This window comes from Homo sapiens, chromosome 7, assembly GCF_000001405.40.
Source record: "Homo sapiens chromosome 7, GRCh38.p14 Primary Assembly".
Taxonomy (NCBI): Eukaryota; Metazoa; Chordata; class Mammalia; order Primates; family Hominidae; genus Homo; species Homo sapiens.
Window position 1 is genome coordinate 99,598,058 of NC_000007.14, and position 12,988 is coordinate 99,611,045.

The following is a 12,988-nucleotide window of genomic DNA, read 5'->3' on the forward strand; positions in this document are numbered from 1 at the left end:
ACCCGTGAGCGAAGCCGGTACTGTGGGCAGACGCCAGGGCCTGGTTTCCCCACCCTCCACCCGCCAGGTTTGCGGTGGCCGGGGCGGCAGGTAGGGAGGTGAGCCCGCGTCTCCTCCGCAGAGCTGGAGCTGGAGCTCCGCTCAGAGGCCCAGGCTCAGTGGGCTCCTCCCCCGGGTCGGGGCAACCCCCCGCCGGGGCCTCTGGGGCCAACGGAAGCTCCAGGAGCGCGGTGGAGCCTGGAGTGGAGGGCGAGGGTCCCACCGTGACCCGCCTGGAGGGCAGCCCAGCTCTGGGACGCGAAACCGCCTACGACGGTGCCGCAGGTGGAGGGAAGGGTAGAGGGGAGACCAGTATGGGGGAGAGCAAGGTGGCCCCACAGGTTGGGAGAGGATGTGGGGAAGTCCCCCTACCCACCCAAGGCCGAACATCGCCTAACTGGCTGTGGGACGCCCGGGGCAGGGGCTGGGGGCGGATGGCCTGGTTAGGGCCCAGCTTGGGGTCTTGAAAATATCCCTATGGCTTTGGGGCCACAGAAGGGCGGAGTCCTGGCATTCAGGGGAAAGGGCCGAGGACGGTTGTCAACGGGAAGGAACCTCTGACCCTACCCTGGGTCAATGTGCAGTCCAAGTTGCCACAAATGACCGGAGGAAACAGTGGGAAGGGAAGGTCTCTTTCCCATTCCAAACCAGGATGCCCTTCAGGTCGCCCACTTCCTTCATCCCCAGAGCAGCTGCCGACTTTCCTGTTAAGTGCCAGGGCCTGGGAGGTGCGGGGCTGCAGCTCAGGCGCTGAAGGGGGCCTAGGGTCCAGGAACCTCCTGCCAAGCCAGTGGTCCTCAGACGCTGGTCCAGGCACCACCACGGGGTACACAGCTTTTCTTACCTCCTGGTGTTATGGGTCCTTTCTGTTTTTTGAGACGGAGTCTCGCTGTGGCTGTGTCGCCCAGGCTGGAGTGCAGTGGCACGATCTCGCCTCACTGCAAGCTCCGCCTCCCGGGTTCACGCCATTCTCCTGCCTCAGCCTCCTGAGTAGCTGGGACTACAGGCGCCCCCACCACGCCTGGCTAATTTTTTTTTTTTTTTTTTTTTTTGTATTTTTAGTAGAGACGGGGTTTCACCGTGTTAGCTAGGATGGTCTCGATCTCCTGATCTCGTGATCCACCTGCCTCGGCCTCCCAAAGTGCTGGGATTACAGGCGTGAGCCACCGCACCCGGCCCATGGGTCCTTTAAAAAATAATAATTTGGCCAGACGTGGGGCCTCATGCCTGTAATTTCAGCACTTTGGGAGGTAAAGGTGGGAGGATCACTTGAGCCCAGGGGTTGCCTGGGCAACATAGCAAGACCCCATCTCAAAAAAAAAATTAGCCAGGTGTAATGGCATACACCTGTAGTCCCAGCTACTCGGGAGGCTGAGGCAGGAGGATCGCTTGTGCCCAGGAGGCATGAATGCACCACTGCACTCCAGCCTGGGTGACACAAGACCCTGTCTCAAAAAAGAACAACAACAAAAATTTGAATAAAAACCAAACCAGTGACAGTAGATAAGTTGCTTTGTTTTTAATGCTCTTGGCAAAATAAAAAGTTGGCAGTCGTATATTCCCCCATTCTCTCTCTCTTTCTCACACATGCACATGCCTATAAGAAAGCATTCTCTGGATCCACAGAATTCCAGATTTGGGAATCACTGAATTGAACTGCCGGCCATTGGTGGCTGGTGAGACTGTCCTGGCAGTGATGCAGTATTCTGGTCCCTGTGCCAGCACTGATGGGCTGTGGAATCCTCCACCAGTCATTCCCTCTCTCCAGCTCTCCATCTCTGCTTCTGTACAAAAGGATCTACCAATCCCCTCTTATATTCAAATATCTATGACCTTTCAGTCTGGCCTATATCCGTGCGGATCTGAAGTTGTGTATCCGAAGATGTAACCTTGTCCAGTGCTGGCACTAAGGGCTGCTTCAGGGAGGGACCTGGACTGGTGCCCAGGGAAAGGAGGACAAGGTCCTCATCACTGGAGAGTGGAGGGGGCAGTGGGAATGGGACAGATAAGGGGTAGTGCCCTGGGGTATACCTGGCCCCAAAGTAACCCCGGGCTGTGAAGACAAAAGCACTGCATCACATGATGTGTTTCTGTGTCTCTCTCCCTAGCAGTTCCAAGAGCCTCTGAGTTCCTGCCTTTTTTCATCTCTGAATCCCCACCATTGGCCTACATTGGGAGTGGGGCGACCTGTAAGTGCACAGTGAATTTTTGCTGAGGGAGTGGCTGGGAGGGCTGCGTGGAGTGGACAGCACCAAGCTGCACTTTTCAGGGGAGTGGGGTTTGGAAAATCTGGGGAGCAGAACAGGCACCCCCGCCCCCAGGAAGGAACCCAGGTGTATTAGTCTGTTCTCATGCTGCTAATAAAGACATACCCAAGACTGGGTAACTTATAAAGGAAATAGGTTTAATTGACTCGCACCACATGGCTGCAGAGGCCTCACAATCATGGCTGAAGGCGAATGAAGAGCAGAGTCACATCTTTCATGGTGGCTGGCAGGAGAGAGCTTGAGCAGGGGAACTTCCACTTATAAAACCATCAGATCTTGTGAGACTTATTCACTACCACGAGAACCGTATGGGGGAAACTGCCCCCGTGATTCAATTATCTCCACCTGGCCCTGCTCTTGACACATGGGGATTATTACAATGCAAGGTGAGATTTGGGTGGGGACACAGCCAAACCAAATCACCAGGTACAGAGGCCAGAGGAGCCTGGGGATGACGGTGATGTTCCAGGTGTGGAGGGAGACGTGGCAGGCGTGGGGACAGGAAGGTTGGAAGGTTGGGGAACTTTATGAAGGGAAAACTGAGAAGATGAGGAAGGCTGATGAGATGGAAGTGGGGTTGGGGAGAGGGAAGAACCAGCATGAGCTCAAGGCTAGGGTTTGGGTGAAGGAGAGAAAAAAAGGTAGAAAATAAAGGAGACAGAGATCACTTCTAGTCACATACAGGTGGAGATGGGGTAGACAGGAAGAGGTGCCCCCTATCAAATGAGAATGCCCAGTGTACTCCCATCTATACAGAGGACAGGATCAAGATGCAGCCATGACTCCTTCCCATTGAGTTCTAATACTAGAAGGATGCCTCAATGCCCTCTGGTCCAACAGACTTCATCATTTTAGATAGAAGGAAGTGGAAGCCCTGAGGTTGGGGTGACTTGTATGACCTGGAGAGTGGATGGGAGATGGAAAGGGGACATTTAAAGAGAGGGAAGGGCTGGGTGTGGTGGTTCAAGCCTGTAATCCCAACTCTTTGGGAGGCCAAGGCAGGAAGATCACTTAAGCTCAGGAGTTTAAGACACCCTGGGCAACATAGTTAGACCCCTGTCTCTACAAAAAATTAAAAAATTAGCTGGGCGTGGTGGCACGCACCTGTAGTCCCAGCTACTCAGGAGGCTGAGGTGGGAGGATCACTTGTGCCCAGGAGGTTTAGCCTGGGTGACAGAGTGAGACCCTGTATCTAAAAACAAAATATAATAAGGAAAGAAGGGAATAATTCAATTTTTCAAGTGGGAAGAAGAGAAACTAGAGAATGTCAGAAAGGAAGAGAAAGTACAAACATTTTCAAGTCACTCTGACAGCATCGAAGATGAACATGTGTTTACCTGTTTATAACCAGGGTACTTGGGTGTGGGGGGTACAGGAAGGGAGCCACACCTCTGCCCTCTGCCATTAGGCTTGTTCAGCCATAGCCATTGGTAGCTCTCAGAGACGCCCCCTTCCCTGGCTGCAGCAAGTGTCTGCATGGGCAAAGACGCCCCCTTCCCTGGCTGCAGTGAGGGTCTGCATGGGGATTGGGTAGAGGCCCCAGTGTCTGCACTGGGCAAGGTTTGCACAGGGTGTGGGAGCAGGGGAGGAAAGCATGCTCACTTCGAGGGCCTTGTGCTCTCTACTGCCCAGGCACAGCTTGAAAACCGTGATGCTGCCAAGCCCAGCCTGGCACAGGCAAGGGTCCCCAGGTCTGGCTTTGGGTAGGACTTGGAAAGAAAGACTGTCATCTTGGGGTGCACCTCCCTTGTCACATCTTCCTTTCACCTGATGCCCCCTTTCTGCACTGCCAGGTAGCGAGGGTCATCACAGTGCCACCTGGAGGCCTCTGGCCAGGCCCACCCTCCCTGCAGCTCCAATCACCGTCCCTGCTTCCTTCCTTCCCATTGCTGGATAACTCTCATTCCTCAGAGCTGCCAGGCTCAGCACAGACAGAGGGGAAAGCAGATTCGTTGAAACAATTTGTCCTGAAGTTGGGTGTGGCCTCCAGCCCCTTCTCCCACAGGGATATCTGAATTTTAGAAGTCTGCCCTCCATCCCTGCCCTCCCAACTTTAACCAAGCACCTGAGTGCTCAGCACTGTGTTGGACACTTTGGTATGCGTTATTTCATTTGGTCCTCTCAGTGGCAGGTGTTGTATTCTTATCATTGGGCAGGTGTTATAATATATCCTTCCTTATCCTTAGGCAGGTGTTATATCCTTCCTTTTCCAGATGGGGAAAGCAAGGTCCTGAGACTCTGAGCAACTTCCCCAAGATCACACAGCTAGGAAGTGATGAAGCTGAGACAAGACCAGCCAGCACTTACCCACCACGGTGTAACTACTCATTCAAAAGATGACATCTTTTGAAAATTTTTATTCTTTCAGAGACAAGGTCTTGCTTTGTTGCCCAGGCTGGAGTACGGCGGCATGATCATAGCTCACTGCAGTCTCTAACTCCTGGGCTCAAGAGTTCCTCCTGCCTCATCCTCCCAAGTAGCTGGGAACTACAGACAGGCACATGCCCCCAGCCTGGCTAATTTTTAACAATTTCTTGTGGAGACTGGTCTGACTGTGTTGCCTAGGCTGGTCTCAAAACTCCTGAGTTCATGCGATCCTCCCACCACAGCCTTCCAAAATGCTGGGATTATAGGCATGAGCCACCAGTGACTGGCCACAAAAGGAGACATCTTAGTGACAGATGGTGATGAAAGAGAAGATGGGTTTGGGGGAGGAACTCCACGTGATAGGGATCCTTCACTGAGGGCCCAGGCTGCAGGAGGCTCTATGAAACACCAGAACTCTTTGTAAAACTTCCTGTTTGTACATGACCTGCTCATTTCTCAGCAGGGGCTCCTCCTGTGCACATGGACCTCTCCCCACCTAAACCCACAGTTCCTGTGGTCAGAAGGCCAGTCACTGAATAAGGGCACCTAAGGCTCTGGTCTGAATATCTCCCCTTGGTTCTCAGTCTGAAATCCCAAAAGGAAGACAGTTGACTGCAAAATAGGCTGGAGTTGTCCTGATGGCCAGTAGAGGTGGCTGTTGATAGAATTGAAAGCTTAGGGCCAGGCATGGTGGCTCACACCTGCAGTCCCAGCACCTTGGGAGGCTGAGGCGGGTGGATCACCTGAGGTCAGGAGTTCGAGACCAGCCTGGCCAACATGGTGAAACGCTGTCTCTACTAAAAATACAAAAATTAGCTGGGCGTGGTGGCGGGCGCCTGTAATCTCAGCTACTCAGGAGGCTGAGGCAGGAGTATTGCTGGAACCTGGGAGGCAGAGGTTGCAGTGAGCTGAGATGGTGCCATTGCACTCCAGCCTGGGCTGACAACAGCGAGACTCCATCTTAAAAAAAAAAAAAAAGAATTGAAAGCTTAGAACTTTAGTTTTTTTCTTTTTTTTAAATTATTTAATTTTTTTTTTTGTTTTTTTTTGAGACAAGGTCTTGCTCTGTCACCCAGGCTGGAGGGCAGTGGTGTGATCATGGTTCACTGCAGCCTTGACCTTCCTGGGCTTAGGCGATCCTCTCACCTCAGGCTTCTGAGTAGCTGGGACTACAGGTGTGCAACACCATGCCTGGCTAATTTTTGGTAGAGACGGGGTTTCGCCATGTTGCCCAGGCTGGTCTTGAACTTCTGGACTCAAGCGATCCGCCTGTCTCAGCCTCCTAAAGTAGTGGGATTGCAGGTGTGAACCACCGCACCCAGCTGAAAGTTGAGAACTTTAAAGCTGAGGAGGCCTTGTGAATGGCCCAGTTCAACCTCCTCAGTTTACCAGAGGAAGAGGGCTCAGAGAGGGAACCTGACATGCCCAAGATCACCCAGTGATTTAGCGACAGAAAGCATTTTATGCATTTTTTTTTTGGTCTGCTGCAGAGGTGTATAGGCTGTAAAGTTAAGCAAAGAAATCATCATTTACTGAGTTTCACATATGCGCCACACACAGCACTGACATTTCCCCAGCCACTGTCTCCTTCCCTCTGTGCTGCAGGAGAATTTGGGTCGGTGTCCCACCTCCACGATCACTTTTCTCTTACACAGGTGATGCTGACGTTAGAGGACAAGGACATGAAGGGATTCTCCTGGGCCATAGTCCCAGCCTTAACCTCCCTAGGCTACCTGATTATACTGGTGGTCTCCATCTTTCCCTTCTGGGTGCGACTGACAAACGAGGAGTCCCACGAAGTCTTTTTCAGTGGCCTATTTGAGAACTGCTTCAATGCCAAATGCTGGAAGCCTCGACCCTTATCCAGTAAGGAGGGATGGAGGCGGGGAGGAGAGAGAGGGAGATGGGGCCAGTGTTGGGACAGAGGTGGGGGGTGAAAGAACAGGGTGGGAGCAGAGAGGACAAAATCTAATTAGCTCAGGGCTGGATGCGGTGGCTTGCACTTGTAATCCCAGCACTCTGGGAGGCCGAAGCGAGAGGATTGCTTGAGGCCAGGAGTTCAAGACCAGCCTGGGCAACATAGCCAAACCCTGTTGCTACAAAAATGAGAAAATTAGCTGAGCATGGTGGCATGTGCCTGTAGTCCCAGCTACTCAAAAGGCTGAGGTTGGAGGGCTCCTGCTTGAGCCCAGAAGTTCGAGGCTGCAGTGAGCTGTGATCATGCCACTGCATTCCAGCCTGGGAGTGAGAGTGAGGCCCTGTCTCAAAACAACAACAACAACAACAACAACAACAACAACAACAAAACACAAAAAATTAACCAGGCTTGGTTAACCCAAGGGTAGACTCTGGGATATCTGGGGCTTCAACAGCAACTTTGACTCCTTATCCCACTGCCAGCTGCCCACCTCTGCCAGCTCAGGAGGGTATGCAAACTCATTTTCACATGGGTCTGCATCATGCCAGCAGTCAGAGAACAAATCACCCTGTTATCAGACTCTGGCTCTGCTAATTTTGGTCTATTTCACTACTTCTGTTATTGTTGTTGCTTTTACAGATGGGGACTCACTCTGTTGCCCAGGCTGAAGTGCAGTGGCGTGATCATGGCTCACTGCAGCCTCCAACTCCTGAGTTCAAGCGATCCTCCCGCCTCAGCCTTCTGAGTAGTTGGGACTACCTGTGCTCACCATAGCTCCCAGCTAATTTTTTAATTTTATGTTTTGTAAAAAACAGGATCTCGCTTTGTCACCCAGGCTGGTGTGATCACAGCTCACTGCAGCCTCCAACTCTTGAGTTCAAGCGATCCTCCCACCTTAGCCTCCTGAGTAGTTGGGACTACAGGTGCGCACCACAGCTCCCAGCTAATTTTTTAATTTTAGGTTTTGTAAAAACAGGATCTCGCTCTGTTGCCCAGGCTGGTGTGATCATAGCTCACTGCAGCCTCCATCTCCTCAGCTCAAGTGATCCTCCTGCCTCAGCCTCCCAAGTAGCGGGGACTACAGGTGTGCCCCACCGTGCCCAACTTTTTAAAATTTCTTGTAGAGATGGGGTCTTACTATGTGGCCCAGGCTGGTCTCCAACTCCTGGCCTCAGGCAATCCTCCCACGTCAGCCTCCCAAAGTGTTGAGATTACAGGCGTGAACCATTGCACCCAGTCTCACTCCTATTAACTAGGAAAATTAAATAAAGATGTGGGGATTCCCTCAGCGTTCAGAACATTTTGACCTCACAAAGTTTTGATTTTCCACAGGCGAATTACTTCAGGGTAACCAATACAGGTGTGATTCTTCACATTTGCATGTGCAACAAATTTTATCACAAGAGTTTGATTTTGTGTTGCTTTTTAAAACCACCATTTTCCCCTAGTGGATGATACATGGTTTGGTACAACCAAATTCCCATAATAACATTTGTTAAGGCCAGGCACGGTGGCTCACGCCTGTCATCCCAGCGCGTTGAGAGGCCAAAATGGGAGGATCGCTGGAGCCCAGGAGGTTGAGGCTGCAGTGAGCTATGATGGTGCCACTGCACTCTAGCTTGGGCGACAGAGCAAGACCCTGTTTCTACAAAACATAAAAATAAAAAAATTAGCCAGGTGTGGTGGTACATGCCTGTGGTCCCAGCTACTCTGGAGGCTGAGGCAGGAGGATTGCTTGAGCCTGTGAAGTCGAAGTTACAGTGAGCTGAGATTGCACCACCACACTCCAGCTGGGGCGATAGAGGGAGACCCTGTTTCAAAAAAAGAAAAAATATGTTTATTAAGAACTGGTGATTTCAGTGTCTGACATTGTCAATTTAATTTTTTTTCCTATATTTCTATGCCATTGGGAATCAAATTGTGGGGCCAAAGCATTCTTGGGGCCAAAGTGGCATGGTCACAACCTTGGTCCCAAGGCCATGCTTTGGGATCTAAGGGTGGTGGAGGCTCCGGGGGCCAGCCCTGCCCAGGCTCTGAGGGACTCTGACCTTTCCGGGTCAGGGTTCCCAGCTTCAGCCCCACTTCTCCCTCCCCTGCAGTTTACATCATCCTCGGCCGGGTTTTCCTGCTCTCTGCAGTTTTCTTGGCTTTCGTCACCACCTTCATCATGATGCCCTTTGCATCCGAGTTCTTCCCGAGGACCTGGAAGCAAAACTTTGTGTTAGCCTGCATCAGCTTCTTCACAGGTGTGGAACAGCTAGGTGATCCCTGACCTTCGCTAGGGCCTGGGGAGGAGTCCAGAGAAAGAGGGGTGCTCAGTCTCTGTGATGTCAAAAGAGGCATAATTTTTCTTTTTAGGGACAGGGTCTCACTCTGTTACCCAGGCTGGAGTGCAGTGGTGCTATCATAGCTCACTGCAGCCTTAACCTCCCAGGCTAAAGTGATCCTCCCACCTCAGCCTCCCAAGTAGATGGGACTCTAGGCATGTGCCACCATTCCTGGCTAATTTAAACATTTTTTTTTTTGGTAGAGATGGGGATCTCGCTATGTTGCCCAGGCTGGCCTTGAACTCCTGGTGTCAAGCGGTCCTCCTGCCTCAGCCTCCCAATTGCTGAGATTACAGGCATGAACCACTGCACCTGGCCCCTTTTGACATTTATAAAGGGTGACCCAGGCTCCACCCTGAGAGGCTCCTAGGCAAATGGTGGAGGTAGAGCAGTAGGAAAATGGGATTGCATTTAATCCAAAGTGTTGCACCCTCTGCTAAGGTGCAGAGGTGAGCTAAGGGCAGATGCAGAGGGTGCTAGGAAAGGGAGTTCTGATGATGGTTCCCTGGAAGGTAAAGCACATGGGCTTTGAAGATGAGTCAGAAAGGAGGGAGGGACAGGCATCTGGGTAGGAGTTTTGTTTCAGAGAGGGGGCAAGGATGAAGGAGCCTCCAGGCAGGAGCCACAGGGGGTGAAGTTTGGAGGGAAGGCGGGTAGCATGGGAGGAGACCGAGGGTGTCTCCCTGTGACCCTCCAGGGGCCTGTGCCTTCCTGGCTTTGGTGCTGCATGCCCTGGAGATCAAGGCTCTGAGGATGAAGCTCGGCCCCCTGCAGTTCTCCGTGCTGTGGCCTTACTACGTGCTGGGCTTCGGCATCTTTCTGTTCATAGTGGCTGGTGAGTGTCCAGGGAACAGTGCCCTGCTTCTTGTCCTCGGTCTGGATTTAGGAACCTGTCTTGTGGAGGCCCTCCCTTTGGATTCTCTAGAATTGCACTGTTCCAAACCGCAGCTGCCAGTTAGACGTGGCTATTTAACTTTCGTTAATTAAAATAGTTATTGGCCAGATGTGGTGGTTCACACCTGTAATTCCAGTGCTTCGGGAGGCCGAGATGGGTGGATCACTTGAGGCCAGGAGTTTGAGACCAGCCTGGCCAACATGGTGAAACCCCATCTCTACTAAAAATACAAAAATTAGCTGGGCGTGATGGCACATGTCTGCAATCCCAGCTACTCGGGAGGTTGAGGCAGGAGAATCGCTTGAACCCAGGAGGCAGAGGTTGCAGTGAGCCGAGATCACATCACTGCACTCCAGCCTGGGTGACAGAGCAAAACTCCATCTCTAAAATAAAATAAAAAGTTATGAATTCAGTTCCTCAGCCATACTAGCCACATCACCGATGTTCAATAACCACATATGTCCAGTGGCTATTGGACACTGTCATATTGGACAGTGCAGACAGAGAAATTTCCTTCTCTGCAGAACGTTCTACCTGACAGCACTGCTCTGGAGCTTCAACCCCATCCTTGGCCTTCCTGTTCTTATCCTTCTTGACTTAGAACTAAACTCTTTCAAATTTTTATAGTCTCCCTTCCACCATCCTGGTTCCTTAGGCTATCTATTTCTGTCTCTACCTTTTTTTTTTTTTTTTTTAAGAGATAGGGTCTTGCTTTGTTGCCCAGGTTGGAGTGCAGTGGTACAACTGCAGCCTCCAACTCTGGGGCTCAAGCGATCCTCCTGCCTCAGCCTCTTGAATCACTGGAACTACAGGCATGTGCCACCATGGCCAGCTAGTTAAAAAAAAATATATATATATATATATACACACACACACACACACACACACACACACATATTTATATATGCACATATATATGTATGTGTGTATATATGTATATAGACATACATATATGTGTGTGTGTGCACGTATATATATATATATATATACACACACACATATATGTGTATATATGGCCAGGTGCACTGGCTCACACCTGTCATCTCAGCACTTCGGGAGGCCAAGGCAGGTGGACCACCTGAGGTTAGGAGTTCAAGACCAGCCTGGCCAACATGGCGAAAACCCATCTCTACTAAAAATACAAAAATTAGCTGGGTATGGTGGTGCGTGCCTGTAATCCCAGCTACTCAGTAGGCTGAAGCAGGATAATCACTTGAACCCAGGAGGTGGAGGTTGCGGTGAGCTGAGATCTCACCACTGCACTCCAGCCTGGGCAACAGCGGGACTCCATCTCAAAAAAACAAACAAACAAAAAACCACATATTTAAGCTTTTATTTCTTAATTTCCCCTTCACCAAATAGAGTTACAATATTTTATATTTTAACCTTTTAATTCCATTTTTCCATGATTTCCATGAATTCTTTGAAGTTCTCTCACATTTTATTTAAAATTTTTGTGGCTTTTAGTGGTAGAGTAGTCTGCTATAATGCTGAAAATAGAAGATGTCTTTTATCTTAGTCTTCATCTTAACACAGCATTGATCATTTACTCAAGATATCTCCATTTGTTGTCTCTTTTTGTTCCCGAGATGGAGTCTTGCTCTGTCACCCAGGCTGGAGTGCAGTGGCATGATCTCGGCTCACTGCAACCTCCGTCTCCTGGGTTCAAGCAATTCTGCCTCAGCCTCCCAAGTAGCTGGGACTACAGGCATGCACCACCATGCCTGGCTAATTTTTATATTTTTAGTAGAGATGGGGTTTCACCATGTTGGCCAGGCTGGTCTCGAACTCCTGACCTTGTGATCCACCCACCTCGGCCTCCCAAAGTGCTGGGATTACAGGTGTGAGCCACCGCGCCCGGCCACTTGTTCTTTTTTTTAAAGGGACAAGGTCTTGCTCTGTCGCCCAGGCTGGAGGGCAGTGGTGTGATCATAGCTCACTGCACCCTTGACCTCCTGGGCTCAAGTGATCTTCCTGCCTCACCCTCCCAAGTCAGTGGGGCTTCAGGCTCATGCCATCATGCCTGGCTAATTTTAATTTTTTTTTGGTAAACACGAGGTCTTGCTATGTCGCCCATGATGAGTCTCGAACTCCTGGGCTCAAAAGACCCTCCTGTCTCGGCTTCCCAAAGCACTGGAATTACAGGCGTGAACTACCACGTCCATCCCTCGTTTGTTCTTATTCGTGTCAGTTGTCTATCTTTTACTTCACTGAAGGTCTTGGGTTGGGCCTGGGTTTTGTGTTGGAACTTCCTTTCTCTAAACCTTAGTTTTTTTTTTCACCCATTAATGGGCTACATGATTGCTGAGATGTCTTCTAGGTGCTGACCATGGGTCTGTGATTTTATACATGTATTTGTACTTCTTGTCCTTTGACGCATCCTGTCTGTAATCTCTCTCTGTAATACTCTAGATTGGGGGGCAGAATGAGGGAGGGCAGCTCTGGAGCTAGAGGGACCTGACCTCTAGGGCGTGGAGCTCTGGACTTTCTCTGACCTGACCCAAACGTTGGCTGTTCCCTAGGTACCATCTGCCTCATTCAAGAAATGGTTTGCCCTTGCTGGCACTTGTTGTCCACTTCCCAGAGTATGGAGGAGGACCACGGGAGCCTGTACCTGGACAATCTGGAGAGTTTGGGAGGAGAACCGAGCTCAGTACAAAAGGAGACACAGGTGACAGCAGAAACAGTCATCTAGCCCAGGACATGGCTTCTTTACCCTTCTTCAAGCCATGTGAGTGTACACATGTAGCTGTTTGTAGTCCTCCCCACCCTCTCTGCCAGTATCTGTGCCTTTGAGGAGCTTCTTGCGTGTCAGATCAACTCTCCACCTCCCCATACTCACAGTGATTCTATCTTGCTTGTATGTGAAATTTGCTAAAAGTCCTTTCAACTCTTCTGAGCTTCCTAAGTGACGTTTTTGCAGGTATTTTCAATAAAAAGAAGGGCTACTTTGTTCATCCATATCTCAAAAACCAAGTCCGCAGGGCAGGAGGGGAGGGAGGAATATTACAAGATAACCAAGTGAAATGGGATTTTGTGAAACAGAAACCGTACAGAATACAGAATATACTCGGGGGAATGACAACTATTTGGGCTGGTGGCACAGGGGTAAAAGAATTTACCAAGACGGTTGTAGATAAAGAAAGGCAGATTTATTAAAGGAAGTATAAAAGTA

General features: G+C 50.4%; 1 protein-coding gene across 21 annotated transcripts; it reads left to right on the forward strand.

Annotated features, from left to right (window-relative positions):
* On the forward strand, positions 1 to 12,988 carry TMEM225B (transmembrane protein 225B). 21 transcript variants are annotated; one of them, XM_011515697.2, is made up of 7 exons: positions 1 to 98; positions 2,148 to 2,228; positions 4,520 to 4,623; positions 6,329 to 6,539; positions 8,691 to 8,837; positions 9,616 to 9,753; positions 12,336 to 12,988. In XM_011515697.2, exons 3-7 carry the CDS (start codon positions 4,582 to 4,584, stop codon positions 12,506 to 12,508), a joined length of 711 nt encoding a protein of 236 aa, XP_011513999.1. In that variant the 5' UTR covers positions 1 to 98; positions 2,148 to 2,228; positions 4,520 to 4,581; the 3' UTR covers positions 12,509 to 12,988. The 21 variants fall into 21 exon arrangements, with proteins under 21 accessions (XP_011513999.1, XP_047275644.1, XP_011513998.1 ...); XM_047419688.1 differs by having other exon boundaries at positions 2,151 to 2,228; XM_011515696.3 differs by having other exon boundaries at positions 1 to 90.